This window comes from Homo sapiens, chromosome 3, assembly GCF_000001405.40.
Source record: "Homo sapiens chromosome 3, GRCh38.p14 Primary Assembly".
Lineage (NCBI taxonomy): Eukaryota > Metazoa > Chordata > Mammalia > Primates > Hominidae > Homo > Homo sapiens.
Genome location: NC_000003.12, coordinates 193420270 through 193443276, shown reverse-complemented (window position 1 = coordinate 193443276; position 23007 = coordinate 193420270). Strand labels below are relative to the sequence as shown.

Here is a 23007-nt window from a genome sequence, read left to right as displayed (position 1 = left end):
TACGTAATTCATATACTGAATTAGTCCCTGTGTCTGGCTCTCTCCTTTCCAGGATTCCGCCCATGCCCTTTAGCCTACAAGGGTCCCTTTTCCTGGCTCTTCTGGCCAGAAAGACTGGGTGTCTTTTGGAGTTCTACTGCCCAAACAGCTTTTTAACTGAGGCCCACACGCCAGTCAAATATGGAATAGGGAAGAGAAAAAGTGCTGAGAAACTCATCCCCTTGTAGGTTGCTTCTCCAAATTTGACTCCCTCCCACCATCTGCCTGCTTTTGTTTACTTTTCAAAGTCCTTGGGGAGTTGCTTCTTGGTTTTTGTTCAGAGTTTTCCATTGTAATCAGTGGGAGAGATACATCCTAGTGGGTTTACTCCATTTTGCCTGGAAGTGGAACCACCAGATACTCTACTAAACCAGAGGATTTGCCTAAACATTTGCAAAGCTGCTAACAAATGATGAAAATAGATTTGAATTTTGCTTTTTAATTTTTTCCCCCAGTCTGGCAAAAATACACTGGTAGATCATGAAGCAACCTGACGAAAAGCAGTAAGAACCAGAAAAGGGATCATGGAGTCACAGAAGGTCAGGGCTGAAATAGATATCAGAGATCATTTCTCTTCATACCTGAAATAAGGACTGAACTCCCTGCTCTGGTTTTCAAGGCTCTGCATGAATTAATTCAATCTTGTCAACCTCATCTTGAGATACTCCTCCTTTCCTCTAGGTGACAATCTTCAGACTGCAATAACAGTGGCCAGAAAATCTGGAATGGTTTCTGAAAGCCAGAAAGTCATTCTCATTGAGGCAAATGAAACCACCGGGTCCTCATCAGCATCTATATCTTGGACGTTAGTAGAAGAGAAGAAACACATTATGTATGGGAATCAGGTACTCCTGAACACAGACCTTCTGCCACATTATCAATGTGTCTTGCAGTGTTGGTGACTGAGCAGCTTTGACCTAGAGTCAACATATGCTTCCAAATGTCTAGCATTCATGCTTTTGAACGAACTCAGTTACATTGGTTTTTCCATACTTTTCATACAGAGATTGAAGGTATAGTGCTTTCCTGTGTGCTGGAAATAATCCATCTTTTAACCTTAAAAAAGTGGTTGTCCCTATATGAGAAAGAATATAGTGCGTGGAGTTGAATCTATTTTCTCCCTTTCCCCTTGCTTGTCAATCACCCCACTGGGTTCTAAGGGGATCTAGTCTTTGGGAGAGATGCTGCTCTGTGTATCAGAAAATCAGACTATGTTTTCAGGGTGAGAAAAAAGTTTCATTCATTTATCTCCAGTCTTGTCAGTATTCTATCTCTGTTGTGTCCTTGTAGAACAATATTAGTTCCCTAAGGACAAAAAAATAGTAAGTTCTCATTTCAGGGAGAAATTTGTTAAGCTGCAGTGCTTTTGTATTTTACACTTGATATGTGTGAAATGTGCTCTTCTCTGGGACTCACCAAGATCAAATCACGATGAAAACAGGACATGAGTAAGTGTTATTCTCCTATTCACTGGTTGTCTGTGATGTGCAAAGATTGATCCAGCAAAAAGAAAATGCTTCTCTGAGGAATCAGAGTGACTTTTACAGATAGATCCTGGTCTGTCTTCATTAACTTCTCTCAGATATGCTTATGGTTCTAACCACTCTGTCAAATGAAAGAGTCTAAAATAACTGTGTCTTGCTTTGTAGGACAATTACATTAACATCAGGGATGAAGTCTCTGATAAAGGCAGAGAAGGAAGTTACCATTTTGCCCTAACTGGAAAATCCTTTCATGTTATAAGTCAACATTTCAGCAGCCTACTGCCAAAGGTAAGTTCTAAGAGGGTGACAATCTCCCTATGAAAATGCTGATGATGTCACTTACAGAACATGGTCCTAAATTATTTCAAATCTTGAGACAGGTAAAATATACTCAGTGAGTTTTCTGTATCTTAAGAGAGACAGATATTTTTGCAGAAGATACTATTGTCTCATTTCCTACTAGATTTGAAATAAATAAACTTGATTAGTCAATTTTCCACCATCTATAGGATTGAAGTATCAGTGATTTCTTGAATTATACAGATGATTTTGGGTGGCTGTCACTATATTGCCATGGTAAGGGGTCTCAGAGTATAGTGGAAACCCTGCAATTACACAGGAAAGCAGACCAAGAATAAAGGAACACCATTAGTTTTTTGATAGATGACCTCTGTACTCAAGAGGGTCAAACTTAAAGCTTTAGTCGGGGGAGGTAAGTTTTAGATATATATATATAGAGAGAGAGAGAGAGATAGATCGATAGTTTAGATATATAGATCAACCTTTTGCTGTTTTGCAGTTCAAGGTTCCATTAAGCTCAAGATTTTTCAGGACCACATTCCCCGTGACAGCTGAGGTAAATTCCTGTAGGTCATCATTTTCATAAAATATTTTTTGTTAAGTAATTATCTTTACTGATTTTTGTTTTTCACTGATCACTTATCTGATGACCAAAACCTCAATGTTTGTCTTAAAATCCAAAGGAAGGCTCATTGGAAACTTTTTTTTTTCTTCATCGTAAGTGTCATGATGCAGTCAACATTCTGAGTGTTAGTAATTATTTCATGTACAACCAGATGACTTGATAAAAAAATCTCCATTTTGGGTTCCTTACAGATATTGATCAATGGGACCATCTTTGCAAGAATGTCTCCTGGGCAGAAGTCCAGTCTGGTGGAAGAATTTCAGAAACTGGAGTAGGTTCTTTGCCAGTGCAGGTGGCATGAACTGCATGGAGGCATAACAGTCAGGGGGAGTGGAAGAGGTACCAGGAGTCACTCAGTTTGACAAGGGCAGTGGTCCGTACTTCGGCTGCATGAGATAATCACTTGGGAGCTTTGGAGAAAATAGCAGTACCAAGGGATCTCACCATTCAGAGATCCTGATTCAGTTGTTTATATGGGGCTTAAAAAATCAGTATTTTTTTTCACTTAAGTCAATTTTGCATTCAATGCTGAGAACCACTGGACTAGAACCTAAGGGTCCTGAAAGAGTGTGGGGAGAAATAAGAATGGAAAGGTGGCTTGAGCTCAGCTCCTGGAGGGACAGTGAGAATTTATTTGTATATGCCGTCATCACAATGATGATATAGGGATATTCATATGACAAGAGATTCATGCAACATTAAAAATACTAAAATACTTGTGTGCCAAAGCATTTTTCCACCCTAAATCAGAAAAATCATTCTCTTCTAACACAAAGGGTCTCCATTCCTAGACAGAATGGGCAGTCCAAATGAAGTGCCCATCGCTTAGGACCCTTTGTTTCCTGTTAATAGAACCCCACAGAGTACCAGAGGCTTTCTCCATCTTGGTCATCGTGTCACAACAACATGACTCCGACTCCTACTTGTTTCTGCTCTGCCCTCCTATTCATTTGATTCCGTTATCAGGCTAGCTTCTCAGCTCAGAAAGCCCTATCTTCTCAACATGGCTGAAACCTAGAGAGTCAACGAGTTCCCTCCATATGGCAGTGTGGAAGAAAAGTATAGCATGTTTTATGAATGCTGTCAGAATGCTCATAATTTAAAAAGTTGGCTCTCAATAGTCCTTGTCAATGATTCAAGAGAGTATTCACCCAGCCTCAAAAAGTCATTCTGAAACAAGGATGTGTTTTCTTTCTTCAACTTCTAGGCCTGGCATTACATACTTGAGTTGAGTGACTGTTGACAGGATGGATTTCCTCTCATGCTAGTATTAACAGCACAAACAACTATGACTTGTTATCATTTTAGACTTTATAAGTACTTTCCCATACAGCACCTCATTTAATACTCATAGCCCTTCGTAGCAAAATAATAATAATGATGGGAATAATAATAATAGTGAAAATGTTAAGATGACCAGGTCAACATCTGCATCTGGTTTCAAATCCTGTGCCCTCTCTGCCATGCCAAACTTACATCATAGAATTGTGAGCACCTCTGTCTTACAGCTGAGAAAACTCTCCCTACGCAGTGATGTGCAGTGTCTACATGAAACACTTACAGTCAGGAATCACGTTCTGAATTTCTAAATCCATTGTATTAACTGCTGAATCACACTTTTTTCAGTCAAACTAGACTCTTAGGAAAATTCCCTTAAATAATGAGTTTGAACCCTAAGTAATGATGGTTACTTTGTTTTTTTAATTAGAGAAATTAGCAAGATAGGTTTGATCTCATCTACAATTAATGTGGTTCCCTCTTAGTTACTTTGTAGGTATGTGTGGTGATGGAGCCAATGACTGTGGGGTAAGTAGCTACCAGTTTGTGTGGCCATAATCTCACATTCGATTACACTTAAGCCCTTTAGAGTAGCTGCCAGTGTGTGTAGTCATAATCTCACATTCATTTATACTCGAGCCCTTTAGAGGTATACTCCTGGCATATATACCATTTACATTCCTCTTGACGGATAAACTGTTGCATTGGGAGGCTTTTGACCAAAGTCACACGATTCAATGGTTAGTTCAGGCTACACAGAGTAGAATTTGGTTCTGGAGTTCTCATTTCTTTGGCTAGGTATCCTAATGCCATCTTTTTCTCATGTTCCAGGCAGGGTTAAGTCTCTTGGTTAGAGTTTGGGCACACAAACCACCTTGTGGCCAGCTTAACTGGCCTTTTCTTATGAGGCTTTAGTAGAGACGTACGTGAGTCTATGTGAGGAGTAAGCTGATTCTTTGCTTTCAGGCTCTGAAAATGGCTCATGTGGGCATCTCATTATCAGAGCAGGAGGCATCTGTGGCCTCACCTTTCACTTCCAAAACTCCAAACATTGAGTGCGTACCTCACCTTATCAAGTAAGTAGGCACTTCCTCAAACATTGTTTTCTCTCTCTTGACTTCTGGTGCAAATCACATTGTTCTGCCTGGGAAAGACTAGAGAAACTTTCTGTCCCTGGGTGCGGAGGGTGTTTTGTGGAAGAATGCAGTCAAGCATTCTACTTCCAAATGGATTTTCCAGAAGTTAACAATAACATTGGGAGAGCAGTGGCATTTCCAGTGAATTCACTGATTAGGTTATTTTTAGAAGATTGGAATCTGGAACTTGTTATTGCTTTGAAAGTGTCAATCATCCCCATTTTTCAAATGTAACTATCTCCTTTTCAATTTTTATTTGAAAAATAAAGTTTTCAAAATCTTTGGCCGGGCGCAGTGGCTCACGCCTGTAATCCCAGCACTTTGGGAGGCCGAGGTGGGCAGATCACGAGGTCAGGAGATTGAGACCATCCTGGCTAACATGGTGAAACGCCGTTTCTACTAAAAATACCAAAAAATTAGCTGGGCGTGGTAGCAGGCTCCTGCAGTCCCAGCTACTTGGGAGGCTGAGGCAGGAGAATGGTGTGAACCTGGGAGGTGGAGATTGCAGTGAGCCAAGATTGTGCCACTGCACTCCAGCCTGGGCAACAGAGCAAGTCTCTGTCTCAAAAAAAAAAAAAAAAAAAAAAAATCTTTATTGGCTTTTGCTGCTCTCACTAAAATTTGCTTTGATGTCCCCCACCACCCTGCCGAAAATGTACTTCTGCTCCATTATATTTGAATGATAGAGATAGTGAGCATGGTGGCTGCTCTTGGTTATTGTAACTGACATGTGTTTCTAGTTTAAAAATGCTATAATGCCTACTATCTCACACTTCAAAACAGCCTGGAGATGCAGGAATGGCTATTTTTTTAACAAACAAAACAATTGAAGTTCAGAAAATTTAATTGATGTGCCCAAGCTCATACAACCATATGAGGTTAGAGATTGTCTTAGAATTAATTTTATTCAAATGTATTTTATCTACAGATATACTATTTCCACCACATAAAAATAATAATTTGGCTAGGTCCTCCCAATTTTTTATTTATTCATGCATTTGACAAATCTTTAGTGAGTAGGCATTTAGTGCCAGAAACTAAGGGAGATAAGGATGATACCTACTGATTTTGATAGGTGCTGTCCAGGAAATAAAAAGGGTAAAAGGGAATAAGATGGCTATATAGGTGGAAGCAGCTGCTTCAGATGGGGTGGTATGGGAAAACCTCTCTAAGGAGAACCTCTCCTTATTGCTTAGAGAACCTCTCTAAGCAATAAGGAGAAACTACCTCTGGGCAGAGGAAATGTCACGGCAAAACTCTGATACAGAAAAAAACCTGGTTTGAGGATCAGGTTTTTTTTTTTTTTTTTTTGAGACGGAGTCTCACTCTGTCGCCCAGGCTGGAGTGCAGTGGCGGGATCTCGGCTCACTGCAAGCTCCGCCTCCCGGGTTCACGCCATTCTCCTGCCTCAGCCTCCCAAGTAGCTGGGACTACAGGCGCCCGCCACCACGCCCGGCTAATTTTTTGCATTTTTAGTAGAGACGGGGTTTCGCCGTTTTAGCCGGGATGGTCTCGATCTCCTGACCTCGTGATCCGCCCGCCTCGGCCTCCCAAAGTGCTGGGATTACAGGCGTGAGCCACCGCGCCCGGCCCCGGGGATCAGGTTTTAACACCCTAGGACATCATAGTGGGCATGAGTTTAAACTTAAAGAAGTATGATCTAGGCTGGGTGTGGTGGCTCATGGCTGTAATCCCAACACTTTGGGAGGCCGAGGTGGGTGGATCACTTGAGGTCAGGAGTTCGAGACCAGCTTGGCCAACGTGATGAAACCCAGTCTCTATTAAAAATACAAAAAAAAATTAGCTAGACCTGGTGGAGCATGCCTGTTGTCCCAGCTACTCAGGAGGCTGAGGCGGGCGAATCACTTGAACCTGGTAGGCAGAGGTTGCAGTGAGCTGACATCATGCCACTGCACTCCAGCCTGGGTGACTAAGCAAGATTCTGACAAAAAAAAAAGTATAATTTAAATTTAAAAAGTGTAACTTAAACTTTATTTTTCACCGAATGAAATAGAAGATAAAAGTGACATTTCATGTGTCATCTATTTCATGCTTTAAATGTGTACTATTTATTCAAATCAATCAACAATAACACAAATGAAAATGCTCATCATTTCCAGCCTATTTCAATTTGATATATGACTAATTTGAGTGTGTATTGTTTTGGTCCAGTTTTAGAAAAAGTTGGGACTGCCAAAATGAAATTTGAATCAAATGCTTGCCAAGCTCCTGAAGCTCCTGTATGAAAATAACCCCTGAATCTGGAATTTTATTTAAATCCATTAGTTCACAGATGAAGAAACTGAGACAAGGGAAATGATCTTCTGCATCTCATTAGTGAATAGGTAGAAGATCTGGCACTAGCTCCACTGATCTGAGTTCAGGAGCTAAAACAATGCCTGCTGAAAGGACAAGAGCAACTGTAAATCTGGACTCCATCACCAGATCAAGGCCCTTGGACCTTGGCCTGGAATTGGCCTTTCTTGAAAATTGGGTTGTGTAGTTTACTGACAGCCAGCATCCATGAGCTCAGGGCTGTCCATTTTCAGACAGACAGTCGTATAATGACTTTTGATTTTTTTTCTCCTGAGCTTAGCTGAACAGCACAGAATGACTGACCTTATGTCTTTTCATTACTTTCATGTCTTTATCATTTCTTTTCTTACACAGGGAAGGACGTGCAGCTCTCGTTACCTCCTTTTGCATGTTTAAGTACATGGCTCTGTACAGCATGATTCAGTATGTTGGTGTTCTGCTGCTCTACTGGGTATGACTTGGGACTTAGCCTCTTGGTTAGTGTGAACTAAAACAAGTAGCGGTGCACTCTCAATTTACAATGCCTCTCAAAGAAAGAGTACAAATAGGATATCTGAACAACAACAGCCCCTCCAAAAATATCCTTAAGAATTTGTAAAGTAAATCACAAATAGACAGATTTGTACAGGAAAAGTTGCTGATGTCAATTCTCTGATGTAGAAACCTTTTATCTAGTAATAGCTGAAATCACCACTGAATATATTGCTGCTACTTTTACCTGATTGGACAAGGTCTTTATCTTCTTAATTGCAACGTGGCTCTACCCTAGTCTACCACTCACTAAAGAAATGGTTCTCTGCATTGGGGTGTTGCTAAATGCTTCATTTAGCATGAAAAAAAAGACCTGATTATTAATGTTTGCCCATTTCAGTGGCGTAAATACTCCTACCATAACCAGTTGCAAGCTGTCTGCCTATTGTCACTGAACATGAAGTGGGGAAAGATGTATAGTAGCATATGATTCTATAATACTTGCCCCATATAGATACAAGAGTCGTAAATAACCTTAAGGGCAGAGATAGCAGTAAAATGTAGAAAAATATTTAGAAATAGCTGAGCTTTGAGTATTTATTAACTTTGGTTTTAGTATAATTTATTTAATGGTACACTTGTATAATTTAAGTTTTTGTATTGGCTTTGTTTAACAACCAGCTCACAACATCTCTGAAAATTTAGCAATTGACTTTTAAGTGTTAGTATAAGCCAGCATGCCACTGGTTCCCTGAATATAGGGATGTGAAAACTGGCATATCATACCACAAAAATACATAGGTCTTGTGATCACTTTTTTTTATTTACCAAGATATAAAAAGAGAAAAAAACATGCACATCATCTGTGAACTCAACATGTGAGATTACCGTATTAACCAACACCAAGGAAAGAAAGTTCGTCTGGATATCTGTGTGGCAGATATCCAGATTCATCTTTATATACTGCCTTCTTTTTCCTGGGTTAAAGATTTTAGTTCTATTGCTCTCCGATAAACTATATCTTTTCCTACTCACTGATAAATGGGCTAGAGAAGGATAGGCTATTTCTGGAAATTGGCCTCTATTTTAGAATTCCCAAATTATACTCAAAAGTAGAATTAAACATTGAACATTATCTCCTTTCCACTAAGGGGTGGGGAGCAAGAAAGTGAGTGAGTTTCTTAAAATCAGTAAGACATAGCACTTTTTCCTCTAGACTATTAAGATGTTTTGCTAGGATTTTCTAAAATTTTGTCTAAAAACATTCAAGAATGCAAATAGTGAGTTTACTTATTCTTATTTTCCATCAGTAAAACTTATGTAAGGTTACCACACATTTGTCACTTGGGGATGTATTTTTTTATTGTGTGAAATGAAATCCTAAATTTTCTGTTAACAAGTAGAAAAGAGAGCAGAGATGAATCTGGTAGGGGAAGATGTCCTCCTCAACAAAGTAATAAGGATGCACAAACAATCCCACCCTGAAAGCACATGATGATAGGCCCCCTGCATAGAGAGGGTTTCACAGGTTTGGCTTTGATTACTTCCACCAACACCATCACTCACCAACTCAACCAGGCCCCGAACACAGCATCTCCACAGTAATTTACTTGAAAAACCCTATGTCACAGTGAGAAAATAAATGTAATCAATATCTAATTTCATCCAGAAGGTCACAACTTTTTTGATCTGCTTTCTTTTTATTTTCAGGAGACAAACAGCCTTTCAAATTACCAGTTTCTGTTCCAGGATCTGGCCATTACAACTCTTATTGGTGTAACAAGTAAGACATTTTAAAACTTTCTTACCAGAGGTGCTACCCTCAGCTGCCCTCCCTCTGCCTTGGAAAGATTTGTCTACCATGAGGAACAGCAGCTGCAACAGCAGCAATGATCTGGAATTTATTCCCAAATATATACACAGAGAGGAAATAGAATCCTCATTTTTAAGTATTGCAAGAAAGTATTAGCAAAAGAAAAGCTTGCTCGTTATTTTGCTGTTTTCTGCAAAATGTGGAACTTCTATAAATGGTCACTAAACACTTAAAATGAAAAAAGCAGCTTGAAAATCAGGAACACTAACTTCAGAGTGCTTTTAGATACAGTTATAGTTAAAATGTACCCAATTTATAGGAGCCAAATGGCTTTTATATTTCTCATACCTAAATCTTAGCCTCTCAGGATTTAGAATGAAGCTTAAAGGTAATCTTGCCATTATACCTCTCTTACCCTCCACCTTCTAATGAATAAATTGTCTCCCTAATGTTCCTGCAATGGAAAATTTTTTTATTTTTGACTTTATTCTTTTTTAGGGCTGTCTTAGGTTCACAACAAAAATGAGAGGAAGGTACAGAGATTTCCCATGTACTTCCTTCCCAAACACATACATAGCCTCTGCTACTATCAGCGTTCCTCACAAAGTGGTATATTTGTTGTAACTGATGAAATTCTATTGATGAATGATTGAAGTTTTGACATGTCTTTGTTGTTTTGCTTTTGTCTTACTAGCTCAGCTAAAGGAAAATCTCAACCAACATTCATGTTGAAACTAATTCAGTCATCAATTGCAATCATAGGTTGATTATGGACACAAGAGTTTGGCAAAACTCAATGAAAGCATTTCGTGAGAAACAATTAATAATAACATCATTATTATCCAAAGTCCATCGTTTACATTACAGTTCATTCCTGGTCTTGCACATTTTATGGGTTTGAACATATGTATAATGACATGTATCCATCATTATATTATCACACAGAATATTTTCACTGCCCTAAAAATCCTCTGCTCTGCCTAGTCATCTTCCCCACTTCCCCAAAGCTCCTGGCAACCACTGTGATCTTTTACCGTCTCAGTAGTTTTGGCCTTTCTTTTCTTTTCTTTTCTTTTATTATTATACTTTAAGTTCTAGGGTACATGTGCACAACATGCAGGTTTGTTTGGCTTTTCTAGAATGTTATATAGTTGGAATCATATATAGGCTTTTCAGATGGGCTTTTCTTCACTTAGTAATATGCATTTAAGGTTCAACTATGTCTTTTCATAGTTTGATAGTTCATTTCTTTTTAGTGCTGAATAATACTCCATTGTCTGTATGTACCACAGTTGATTTATTCATTCACCTACCGAAGGATATCTTAGTTGCTTCCAAGTTTGGGCAACTGTAAATAAAGCTGCTATAAACATCCGTGTGCAGATTTTTGAGTGGAAATAAGTTTTCATTTTCACTGGGTAAAGGATTATGTAGTAAGAATAAGTTTTGTTTTGTAAGAAACCTCTAAACTGTCTTTCCAAACAGCTATACTAGTTTGCATTTCTACTACCAATGATTTAGAGTCCTTGTTGCTTCACATACTCACCAGCATTTAGTATTGTTAGTGTTCTGGATTTTGGCCATTCTAATAGGTTTGTAGTGGTTCCATTTATGCTTTTACTCCTACTTCCTCCAACCTTCTCAAGGATTTTATTCGTCTAATAATCTATTTCTCCATTATTATCAACCTTTCTCTTGTTTACTAGATCATTCCCAATGATGGCATATAATACATTCTCATATCTTCTTTCTTTTAAAAATTCTTATTTGACCCTGAATCTACCACCAGCTACTGCCTCCTTTATTCTTAAACTTCCCAAACAGTTATGTATACCCACTTTCTCCATTCTCATCCCTAATTCTACTACCATTCCATTTCCATTAGCCAGATTCTAACATCCAGGGGCATGAATTTGAATTTTGGGCTTATGCAGTTGTTCAGTAGGAGGCAGTGGTATACTTGCAAATGTTTAACATGTTGCTCCCCAAAACAGTTTGAATATACATATATATTTACTTGTTTTCATATATATAATGGAAACATATATATATATGGGAAACATATATATGTGTGTATATATAAATATATATAGAAACATATATATGTGTGTATATATAAATGTATATATACCCACATATACACATACACACCCATATATATTTGGAAGCATATTTATATATAGTAAACACACACACACACACACACACACATGCATATATAGAAACAAGTAACTTTACTGAAAAGAAATGTGTAGTGAGCAATTTGCAAATATACTTGTTCTCTAACTTTTGGAGTATTTCAAGTCTTGTTCTTGGATCCGCTGTCTTTTCAGCCTATACCATCTCCATAAGTAATCTCAACCAGCCCCATGACTTTAATATTATCTATCTGCTGATGAATCCCAAATTTATATCTCCAGCCTTGATGTCCATCCAAAGCTCTGGAAATGTAGCTACTCTGCATCTAACCATGGGTATTTAATAGGAATTAAACTTCACATTCTCAAACAGAACTCTTAATTCCCCCAGATCTGATATTCAATATAATCATTATGTACTTACTGAGTCCCTAGTTTGTGCTACTTACTGATCTAGGAACTTAGAATAATACATCAGTGAAACAAAACAAGATTTCTTTCCTTATGGAGCTTACATTCTACTGGAATTGCACTGTTATCTACCTAGTTGTTCAAGTCAAATAACTAGAGTCATCCTTTATTTTTCTTGTTTCTTCACCCATCACATCCTATACATTTGAAATTTCTGTTAGCACTGCCTCCAAAACGTACTGTGATTCCCCCCCTCCATTTTCAATGTAGCCGCCATCATTAGTCACTAAGCAATGCCAGCTCCCTTGTGCATTACTGTAACAACTTTATAGCTGATCTTGCTTCCACTGTTGCTGCCCTCTCCTCATTCCCATTTACACAATAGTAAGAGTATTGTTTTTAAATATAAATTTTATTATTCATTCTCTTGCTTAAAATGCTCCAATGCTTCCCATTTTGACTCAATTCAAGTCTTATATGATTGGGCTCCTGACTACTTCACCAACTTCACCTCTACCCACATTGCCACTCACTGATGTGACTGCTGTACTGGTCTTACTGTCTCTAGTACATTGTCAAGCTGTGGTCAACTCAAGTACCCTTGCATTGGCTATTCCTTTTGCCTAAAATACTCTCCCCTTGGATCTTTATATGTCTTTGACTTTTTTCATTATTCATATTTGAGCTCAAATGTCACTTCTTCAGAAAGATCACTTTAATAGTGAAGAAGCCAGTTCTCTATCACACAACCCTGCTTTATGTTTTCACAGTACTTTCCACAATCTGAAGTTACTATATTTATCTTTGTTTTCATTAGCTTTTTGCCTGCTTCTCCTCACCCAGAATGTGTGTTTCATGAGAACAACATTTAGTCTGTATTGATCCATGCTGTAATCCCAATACTTCTGACATATTAAAGGAGCTTGTTAAATATTTGTTAAATCTATTGAAAGAACAACCTCGTACAGGCTTTGTTAACTTTGTCAGCAGAGTTCCCCTTCACACGAAGCCAAATTTATCTCTAAATGTGTAACTTTCATCCATCCCAGTTTTGCCATTTGAGGTGTCACAGAAGAGTTTAATTTTTTCTCCAGAACAGTCCTTCTGTTTGAAATTTATTTCGAATAGAAAATTCTATTTGAAAGAATTTGGAAGCAGCTTTTATTTATTCTGTGATTGTTCTCTTCTCCATAGCAAGTGCCTTTAGGATTTTCTCTATTTTTTGTTAAACAACTTGATTCTTTTCTGTTTAACATATATTAAGTGTATATGTTGTTAACATATATTCACTGTGGAAGATGGAAAACATTTCAAGATATAACAGAGAAAAACCTATTTTTATCTTACTATCCAGAGCTAACCAATTAAAGCATTTTGATGTATTTCTGTCCAGTCTTTTTTCTATATAAATTAAGAAATTAGAATTATGTCTTCTATATAGTGCATCTTATTTTCATTTTAATTTTTTTCTTGTGGTAAAATTATATAACAAAATTTGTCATTTTTATTTTTTTCTGTGTATAATTTAGGGACATGAATTACATTCACAATGTTTTCAATCATCACCACTATATATTTTCAAAAGTTTTTCATCACCTCAAACAGATACTCTATCCATTAAAGCAATAACTCCCCATCCTTTCTCCCTCCAACCCATGGTTAACTCTAATCTATTTTTTGTCTCTATGAATTTCCCTATTCAATATATTTCATATAAATGAAGTCAGGCAGTTTGTACCATTGTATCTGGTTTCTTTAGTATAATCCATTTTGTAACATGCATCAGAACTTAATTCGTTTTTATAGCTGAATAATATTCCATTATATGTATATACCACATTTTATCTATCCATTTATTTGTTGATGGACTTGGGTGCTCCCACCTGTTGGCTGTTGTGAATAATGCTGCAATGAACATTTGCATAAAATATCTTTTTGAGTCCCTGTTTTCAACTCTTTTGGGTATAAAGTGGAATCTGGGTCATATGTTAATCATATATTTAACTTTTCAAGGAACCACCGAACTATTTTCCTAATGACTGCATCATTTTACATTCTCACTAGCAATGTATAAGGGGTCTAATTGCTTCACAGCCTCATCAGCTCTTGTTATTTAATGGACAAAGATTATTTTAACCATCCTAATAGGTTTGGAGTGATATCTTATTATGATTTTGACTTGCATTTCTCTAATGACTAATAATAGTGAACATATAGTCATGTGCTCATCAGCCATTTACATGTCTTCTTTGGAGAAATGTTTATTCAGGTCCTTTGACCATTTCCTAATTGAATTTTTGTCTTCTGGGTTTTATTATTATTATTATTATACCTTAAGTTCTAGGGTACATGTGCACAACGTGAAGGTTTGTTACATATGTATACATGTGCCATGTTGGTGAGCTGCCCCCATTAACTCGTCCTTTACATTAGGTATATCTCCTAATGCTATCCCTCCCCCCTCCCCCCACCCCACGACAGGCCTAGGTGTGTGATGTTCCCCTTCCTGTGTCCAAGAGTTCTCATTGTTCAATTCCCACCTATAAGTGAGAACACGCGGTGCTTGGTTTTTTGTCCCTGCAATAGTTTGCTGAGAATGATGGTTTCCAGCTTCATCCATGTCTCTACAAAGGACGTGAACTCATCCTTTTTTATGGCTGCATAGTATTCCATGGTATATATGTGCCACATTTTCTTAATCCAGTCTATCATTGTTGGACATTTGTGTTGGTTCCAAGTCTTTGCTATTGTGAATAGTGCCACAATAAACATACATGTGCATGTGTCTTTGTAGCAGCATGATTTATAATCCTTTGGGTATATACCCAGTAATGGGATGGCTGGGTCAAATGGTATTTCTAGTTCTGGATCCTTGAGGAATCACCACACTGTCTTCCACAATGGTTGAACCAGTTTACAGTCCCACCAACAGTGTAAAAGTGTTCCTGTTTCTCCACATCCTCTCCAACACCTGTTGTTTCCTGACTTTCTAATTATCACCATTGTAACTGGTGTGAGATGGTATCTCACTGTGGTTTTGATTTGCATTTCTCTGATGGCCAGTGATGATGAGCATTTTTTCATGTGTCTTTTGGCTGCATAAATGTCTTCTTTTGAGAAGTGTCTGTTCATATCCTTTGCCCACTTTTTAATGGGGTTGTTTGTTTTTTTCTTGTAAATTTGTTTGAGTTCTTTGTAGATTCTGGATATTAGCCCTTTGTCAGATGAGTAGATTGCAAAAATTTTCTCCCATTGTATAGGTTGCCTGTTCACTCTAATGGTAGTTTCTTTTGCTGTGTAGAAGCTGTTTTGTTTAATTAGATCCCATTTGTTAATTTTGGCTTTTGTTGCCATTGCTTTTGTTGTTTTAGACATGAAGTCCTTGCCCATGCCTATGTCCGGAATGGTATTGCCTAGGTTTTCTTCTAGGGTTTTTATGGTTTTAGGTCTAACATTTAAGTCTTTAATCCATCTTGAATTAATTTTTGTATAAGGTGTAAGGAAGGGATCCAGTTTCAGCTTTCTACATATGGCTAGCCAGTTTTCCCAGCACCATTTATTAAATAGGGAATCATTTCCCCATTTCTTGTTTTTGTCAGGTTTGTCAAAGATCAGATGGTTGTAGATGTGTGGTATTCTTTCTGAGGGTTCTGTTCTGTTCCATTGGTCTATATCTCTGTACCATGCTCTTTTGGTGACTGTAGCCTTGTAGTACAGTTTGAAGTCAGATAGTGTGATGCCTCCAGCTTTGTTCTTTTGGCTTAAGATTGTCTTGGCAATGTGGGCTCTTTTTTGGTTACATATGAACTTTAAAGTAGTTTCTTCCAATTCTATGAAGAAAGTCATTGGTAGCTTGATGTGGATGGCATTGAATCTATAAATTACCTTGGGCAGTATGGCCATTTTCATGATATTGATTCTTCCTATCCATGAGGATGGAATGTTTTCCATTTGTTTGTGTCCTCTTTTATTTCGTTGAGCAGTGGTTTGTAGTTCTTCTTGAAGAGATCCTTCACATCCCTTGTAAGTTGGATTCCTAGGTATTTTATTCTCTTTGAAGCAATTGTGAATGGGAGTTCACTCATGATTTGGCTGTTTCTCTGTTAGTGGTGTATAAGAATGCTTGTGATTTTTGCACATTGAGTTCTAGCAGTTCTTCATATATTGTGGAGATTAAACTCTTATGAGACATGAAATCACAAATATTTTCTCCTATATGTTATCTTTTCACTTTTTAAATAATGTCCAAGTTTTTTATTTTAATGGAGTCCTATTTATTTATTTATGTATTTGTTTGTTCATGTATTTGGTGTTATATCTAAGAATCCAATGCCAAATTCAAGGTTATGAATATTTCTCCCTAAGTTTCTTCTAAGTATTTTATGTTGTTAACTCTTACATTTAGGTCATTGATCCATTTTTTGTGTTAATTTTTACATGTGGTATGAAGTAGAGGTCCAAGTTCCTTACTTTGTGTGTGGAAATCTGGTTGTCCCAGCTTGTTGAAGAGACTATTCTTTCCTTCATTAAATGGTATTAATATGCATTTTGAAATCAGTTGGCCATAGATGTATGGGCTTATTGCTGGACCCTCAATTCTATTCCATTGGTCTACATGTATTTCCTCATGTTAGCACCGAACTGGTTTGGTTACTGAGTTTGGATTTGGGAAGTGTGAGTCCTTCAATGCTATTTTTCTTTTCAAGATTTTTAGAAACGATTTAGGGACTCTTATAATTTCATATAAATCTGAGGACTGACTCCATTTCTCTAAAAATAGCTATTTAAATTTTGATAGAGATTGCATCAAATCTGTAGATCACTTTGGATAGTACAAACATCTTAATAATATTGAGTCTTCCAATCCATTAATATGAGATTTTAATGGGTTTTTCCATTTATTTGTGTCATCTTTAATTTCTTTCAACAAAGTTTTGTAGTTTTCAGTGTGGAAGCCTTTCTCTTTCTTGGTTAAGTTTATCTCTAGGTATTTCATTTTTTGGAAATAGAATTTTTTTAAGTTTGTCTTTGAATTGTTCACTGCTGGTGTACAGAAACACGATGATTGTTTTTGTGTTGATCTTATGCCCTGAAACATTGCTGTATTCAATTATTAATTTTATCAGCTTTCTTGTGAGTTTCTTAAGATTTTCAGTATGTAGGCTCTTGTCATCAGTGCATAGAGATGGTTTTACTTCTTTCTTCCAATTGGATGATTTTATTTCCTTTTTCTTTTCAAAAGATACAACTTATTTTTAATTAACACATATTTGTACATATTTATGAGGTACAATGTGATGTTTCAATACATGTATACGTTGTGTAATAGTAAAATCATGGTAATTAGCATATTTATCACTTTGCACATTTATCATTTTTTGTAGTGAGAACATTCAGAATTCTCTTTTTTAGCAATTTTGAAATATAAAGTCTGCTATTGTTAATGATAATCATCCTACTATGCAATAGAACAATAGAACTTATTCCTCCTATTGAACTATAACTTTGTACATACTGACAACCTTCTCTCCATCCCCTTCTCCTCTCTATCTCTATTCTTTCCAGCTTTAAGAAACCACTATTCTACTCTCTACTTCTATGAGATCAACTTTTTTTGATTCTACAAATGAGTGAGGTCATGTGGAATTTGTCCTTCTGTGTCTGGCTTCTTCCACTTAGCACAGTGTCCTCAAGCTTCATCTATGTTGTTGCAATCAACAAGATTTCCTTGTTTTTTTAAGGCTCAATAGTATTCCATCGTGTATACCACATGTTCTTTATTCATTCACCTGTTGATATACCCTTAGGGCAATTCCATGTTTTGGCTATTATGAATAGGGCTTCAATAAACACGGGAGTGCAGATATTTCTTTGACATACTGATGTTATTTTCTTTGGATACATACCCAGTAGTGGGATTGCTAGATCATATGGTAGTTCCATTTTTAATTTTTAAGGGAACCTCCATGCTATTTTCTTTAATGGCTGTATTAATTTACATTTCGACCAACAGTATGTAAGTGTTCTCTTTTCTTTACATTCTCACTAATATTTATTATTTTTTGTCTTTTTGATAATAGCTGTTCTAACTGGAGTGAGATTATATCTCACGGTGGTTTTGATTTGCATTTCCCTGATATTAATGATGTTGAACATTTTTTCATATATCTGTTGGCATATGGCATACCTATTTCTATGGTTTTTTTGGAGAAATGTCTTGTCAGGTATTTTTTCCATTTTTTAATTGAATTATTTTATTATTATTTTTGCTATTGAGTTTTTTTTTGAGTTCCTGATATAATCTGGATATTAATCCCTTGTCAGGGGCTATTTTATTATACTGCATAGTTTAGAAATATTTTCTCCCATTATGTAGGTTGTCTCTTCAATCTGTTAACTGTTTCCTTTGTTGTGCAAAATCTTTTTAGTTTTATGTAATCCCCATTTGTCTATTTTTGCTTTTGTTGCCTATGCTTTTAGGGTTTTAGCAAAAAAATTATTGCCCAAATCAAAACCATGAAACATTTTTCATATGTTTTTGTTTAGCAGTTTTATAGTTTCGAGTTTTACATTTAAGTTTTTAATCCACTTTGAGTTAATTTTCTTATTTGGTGAGAGATAGGGGTCTAGTTCATTCTTCTGCATCGATAACCAATTTTCTCAGCACCATTCATTGAGGAGACGGTGCTTTCCCTAATGTGTGTTCTTTGCACCTTTGTGAAAATCAATTGACTGTAGATGTTTTTATTTCTGGAATCTCTATTCTGTCCCATTGGTCTATGTGTCTATTTTATACCAATACCAAGCTGTTTTAGTTACTGTAGTTTTGTAGTATATTTTAAAATCAAGGATATGTGGGGCCTCTGGCATTATTCTTTTTGCTGAAGAGTGCTTTGGTTATTCAAGGTCTTTTGTGGTCCCTATACATTTTAGGATTTTTTTTTCTATTTCTGTGAAAAATTTCTTTGGTGTTTTGATAGAGATTGGATTGAATCTGTAGATTGTTTTAGGTAGCAGGGATATTTCAACAATATTAATTCTTCCAATCAATTAACATGGGATGTCTTTTCATGTATGTGTGTTAGCTTCCATTTTTTTTCACCAGTGTTTTATAGTTTCCAGTATAGAGATTTTTCACCTCCTTGGTTAAATTTATTTCTAGGCATCTTATTTTTTGTGGTGTAGCTGTTGAAAGTGGCATTGTCTTCTTTATTTCTTTTATAGATAATTCATCATTAGCCTATATAAAAGCTACTGATTTTTCTATGTTGATTTTGGGTTCTAAAGATTTACTGAATTTATTTATTAGTTCTGTTAGTTTTCTGGTGGAGTCTTTAGGGTTATCTATGTATAAGAGCATGCCACCACCAAACAGGGACAATTTGACTTTCTCCTTCCCAATTTGAATGTCTGTTTTTTTTTTCTCTTGCCTAGTTGCTCTGGCTAGGACTTCCAGTACTATGTTGAATAGAAGTGGCAAAAGTGGGCATCCTTTTCTTGTTCCAGATTTTAAAGGAAAAGCTTTTAACTTTTCCCCGTTAGTATGATGTGAGTTGTGGATTTGTCATACATGACCTTTATTGCATTGAGGTGCATTTCTTCTATGCTTAATTTGTTCAGAGTTTTTAGCAGAAGGGAATTTTGAATATTGTTAAATGCTTATCTATTGAAATGATTATATGGTTTTTGTCCATCCTATTGATGTAATGTATCATGTTTATTGATTTGAATATGTTGAACCATCCTTGCATCTTGGGGTGAATCCCACTTGATCATGGTGAATTACCTTTTTAATGTGTTGTTAAATTCAGTTTGCTAGTATTTTGCTGAGGATTTTTTTTTACATCTATATTTACTAGAAATATTGGCCCTTTTTTATTGTGTCCTTGTAGTGGGGGACTCATAGAATGAGTTTGGAAGTATTTGCTCCTTTACAATGTTTAGGGATAGTTTGAATAGAATCGATATTAGTTCTTCTTTAAATGTTTGGTAGAATTCAGTGGAGAAGCCATCAGGTACTGAACGTTTTTTGATTGGAAAAGTTTTATTACTAATTAAATCCTGTTACTAATTATTGGTCTGTTCATGTTTTCTGTTTCTTCATGATTCATTCTTGGTAGGTTGTATGTGTCCAGGAATTTATCCATTTATTCTAGATTTTCTAATTTGTTGGCATACAGTTGTTCATAATAGTCTCTTATGATACTTTGTATTTCTGTGTTATTAGTTGTGATGTATCCTTTACCTCTGATTTTATTTATTTTAGTCTTCTCTCTTTTTTTCTTAGTCTGGCTATGGTTTGTTGATTTTGTTTATCTCCTCAGAAAACCAACTCTGTTTTGCTTATCTTTTGTATTGCTTTTAGGTCAATTTCATTTGTTTCTGCTTTATCTTTATTATTTCTTTCTTTCTACTAATATTGGGTTTAGTTTGTTGTTGTTCTTCTACTTCCTTGAGGTTCAACATTAGGTTGTTGTTTGTTATTTCTTCTTTATTCATGTAGGCATTTATTGCTGTAAACTTTCCTTTGAGTACTGCTTTTGCTGTATCCCAAAGGTTTTGCTGTGTTTGTTTCAATTTTCATTTTTCTCTAAAAATTTTTTAACTTCTCTTCTAATTTCTTCATTGACTCATTGGTTGTTCAGTAGCACCTTGTTTAATTACCATATATTTGTATAGTTTCTGAAGGTCCTCCTGTCATTGATTTATAGTTTCATATTATTGTGGTTAGAAACAATACTTGATATGATAATTGATTTTTAAAAAATGTTTTAGTACTTGTTTTGTGAACTACCATATGATCTAAACTGGAGAATGTTCCATGCGCATTAGAAAATAATGTGTATTCTTCTGTTATTGAATAGAAAGTTTTGTATATGTCTGTTAGGTCTATTTTGTCTAATGTACAGTTCAGTTCCCATATTTTCTTGTCAATTTTATGTCTAGTTGATCTGTCTCTTGTTGAAAGTGGGTTATTGAAGTCCCCTACTATTATTGTCTTGCTATTTCTCCTTTTGTGTTCATTAACATTTGCTTTATATATTTACGTGCTTCAATGTTGGATGCATTGTCTCTTGTGACAGTTTTTGACTTGACGTCTGCTTTATCTGACATAAATATAGCCAATCTTGCTCTCTTTTGATTACCATTTGCATAGAATATCTTCTTCTATCTCTTTATTTTCAGCTTATTTGTGTCTCTAAGGATAAAGTGAGTCTTTTATAGGCATTATGTAGATGAGTCTTGTTTTTTAAAATCTATTCAGCTACTCTATGTCTTTTGATTGGAGAATTTAATACTCCATTTACATTCAAAGTAATTATTGATAGTTAAGGACTTACTATTGCCACTTTGTTATTTGATGGTTGTTTTGTAGTTCTTTTGTTCCTGTCTTTTTTTCTTTTTATCTCTTTGATTTGGTGGTTTTCTCCAGTGCTGAGTTTTGATTACTTTCTCTTTATTGTTTGTGTATTTGCTATAGCTTTTTGCTTTGTAGTTACCATGAAGCTACATAAAATATCTTATAATTATAATGGACTGTTTTACACTGAAAACAACTAACCTCAGTCACATACAAATCTCTAGACTTTCATCCTTCCCCCAATTTATATTTTAGTGTCGCAATTTACATCTTTTTATTTTATGTACTTCTTAACAATGTATTGTAGTTACTATTATATTTGACTGTTTTGGCTTTTAGACTTCATACTAGAGATATATATGTTTTATAGAGCACCATAACAGTATTGGGATATTCTGGATTTCACCATATATTTACTTTCATCAGTGAATTTTATACTTTCATATGTTTTTATATTTGTAGTGTCCTTCCATTTCTACTTGAAAAACTCTCAAGCATTTCTTGTAAGGAAAATCTAGTGGTGATGAATTCTCTCAACTTCTGCTTGTCTAGGACTTTATTTCTCCTTCACTTCTGAAGGACAGCTTTACTTGTATAGTATTTTCAGCTGCCAGTTTTTATTTTCTTTCAGCACCTTGAATATATCATCTCACTCTCTCCCGTCCTGCAGGGATTTTGCTGAGAAATCTGTTGATAGTCTAATGGGGATTTCCTTATTTGTGATTTGGCACTTTTCTCTTGCTGCTTTTAAAATTCTATCTTTGTCCTTTATTTTGACAATTTATTATAATGTGCCATGATGAGAATCTCTTTGGGTTGAATTCTTTTGGGGACTCTGAAATTCATATATCTGGATTTTCGTATTTCTTGTAGGACTTAGAAGGTTTTCAGCACTTATCATATTAAATAAAATGTTTTGTTTCTATCTTTGTCTCTTCTCCATCTGGCAATCCCATAATGCTAATGTTTGATCATTTCCTGGTGTTTCGTAAGTCCTATGGCTTGTCTTTGTTCTTTTATATTCATTTTTTCTTTGCTTCCTCTGACTGGGTAATTTCAAAAGACCTAGCTCCAAATTCAGAGATTCTTTCTTCTGCTTGCTCTAGTCTGCTATTAAAACTCTCTATTAATTTTTTTCATTTCATTCATTAAATTCTTCAGCTCCAAAGTTTCTGTTTGGTTCTTTTTAAATGATATTTATCTCTTTGTTAAGTTTCTCATTTAAATTCTTTAAACTCTTCTCCTAATTTTCCTAATTTTCCTAAATTTGCTGAATTAGGAAACTCTTTTCCTAATTTGTCTATCTGTATTCTCTTGTATCTCACTGAGTTTCCTTAAGATCATTATAAATTCCTTTTCAGGAAATTCATAACTTTCCTTTTCTTTGGGGTCAGTTACTGGAGAATTATCGTGTTTCTTTGTTGATATCATATTGTCTCGCTCTTTCGTATTTCCTTTTTGTTTCTGCATCAATGTCTTTACACCTGGCAGAACAATCACCTCTTCCAAACTTTACACAGTGGCTTTCACTTGCAGATGAGTCTTGGTATGCTAATTGTGAAGATTGTGGTAACTCTGATTCCGAGAAGATGCAGTAGTATAGACTTTGTACAAGTTTTTCAGCTAAGATCAATG

General features: G+C 35.9%; 1 protein-coding gene across 4 annotated transcripts in view; it reads left to right on the top strand.

Annotated features, from left to right (window-relative positions):
- ATP13A4 (ATPase 13A4) overlaps positions 1-23007 on the top strand; it is a 194153-nt gene that overhangs the window by 149843 nt on the left and 21303 nt on the right. For 2 of the 4 annotated variants that reach the window (XM_047449063.1, NM_032279.4), the window contains 7 exons: positions 721-884; positions 1689-1811; positions 2640-2719; positions 4212-4254; positions 4693-4802; positions 7533-7629; positions 9360-9432. In XM_047449063.1, coding sequence (XP_047305019.1) covers positions 721-884; positions 1689-1811; positions 2640-2719; positions 4212-4254; positions 4693-4802; positions 7533-7629; positions 9360-9432 — 690 coding nt within the window. Of the gene's footprint in view, positions 1-720; positions 885-1688; positions 1812-2639; positions 2720-4211; positions 4255-4692; positions 4803-7532; positions 7655-9359; positions 9433-23007 lie in introns of those variants that run through there. The other 2 variants (XM_017007319.2, XR_007095757.1) reach the window with 2 other exon arrangements.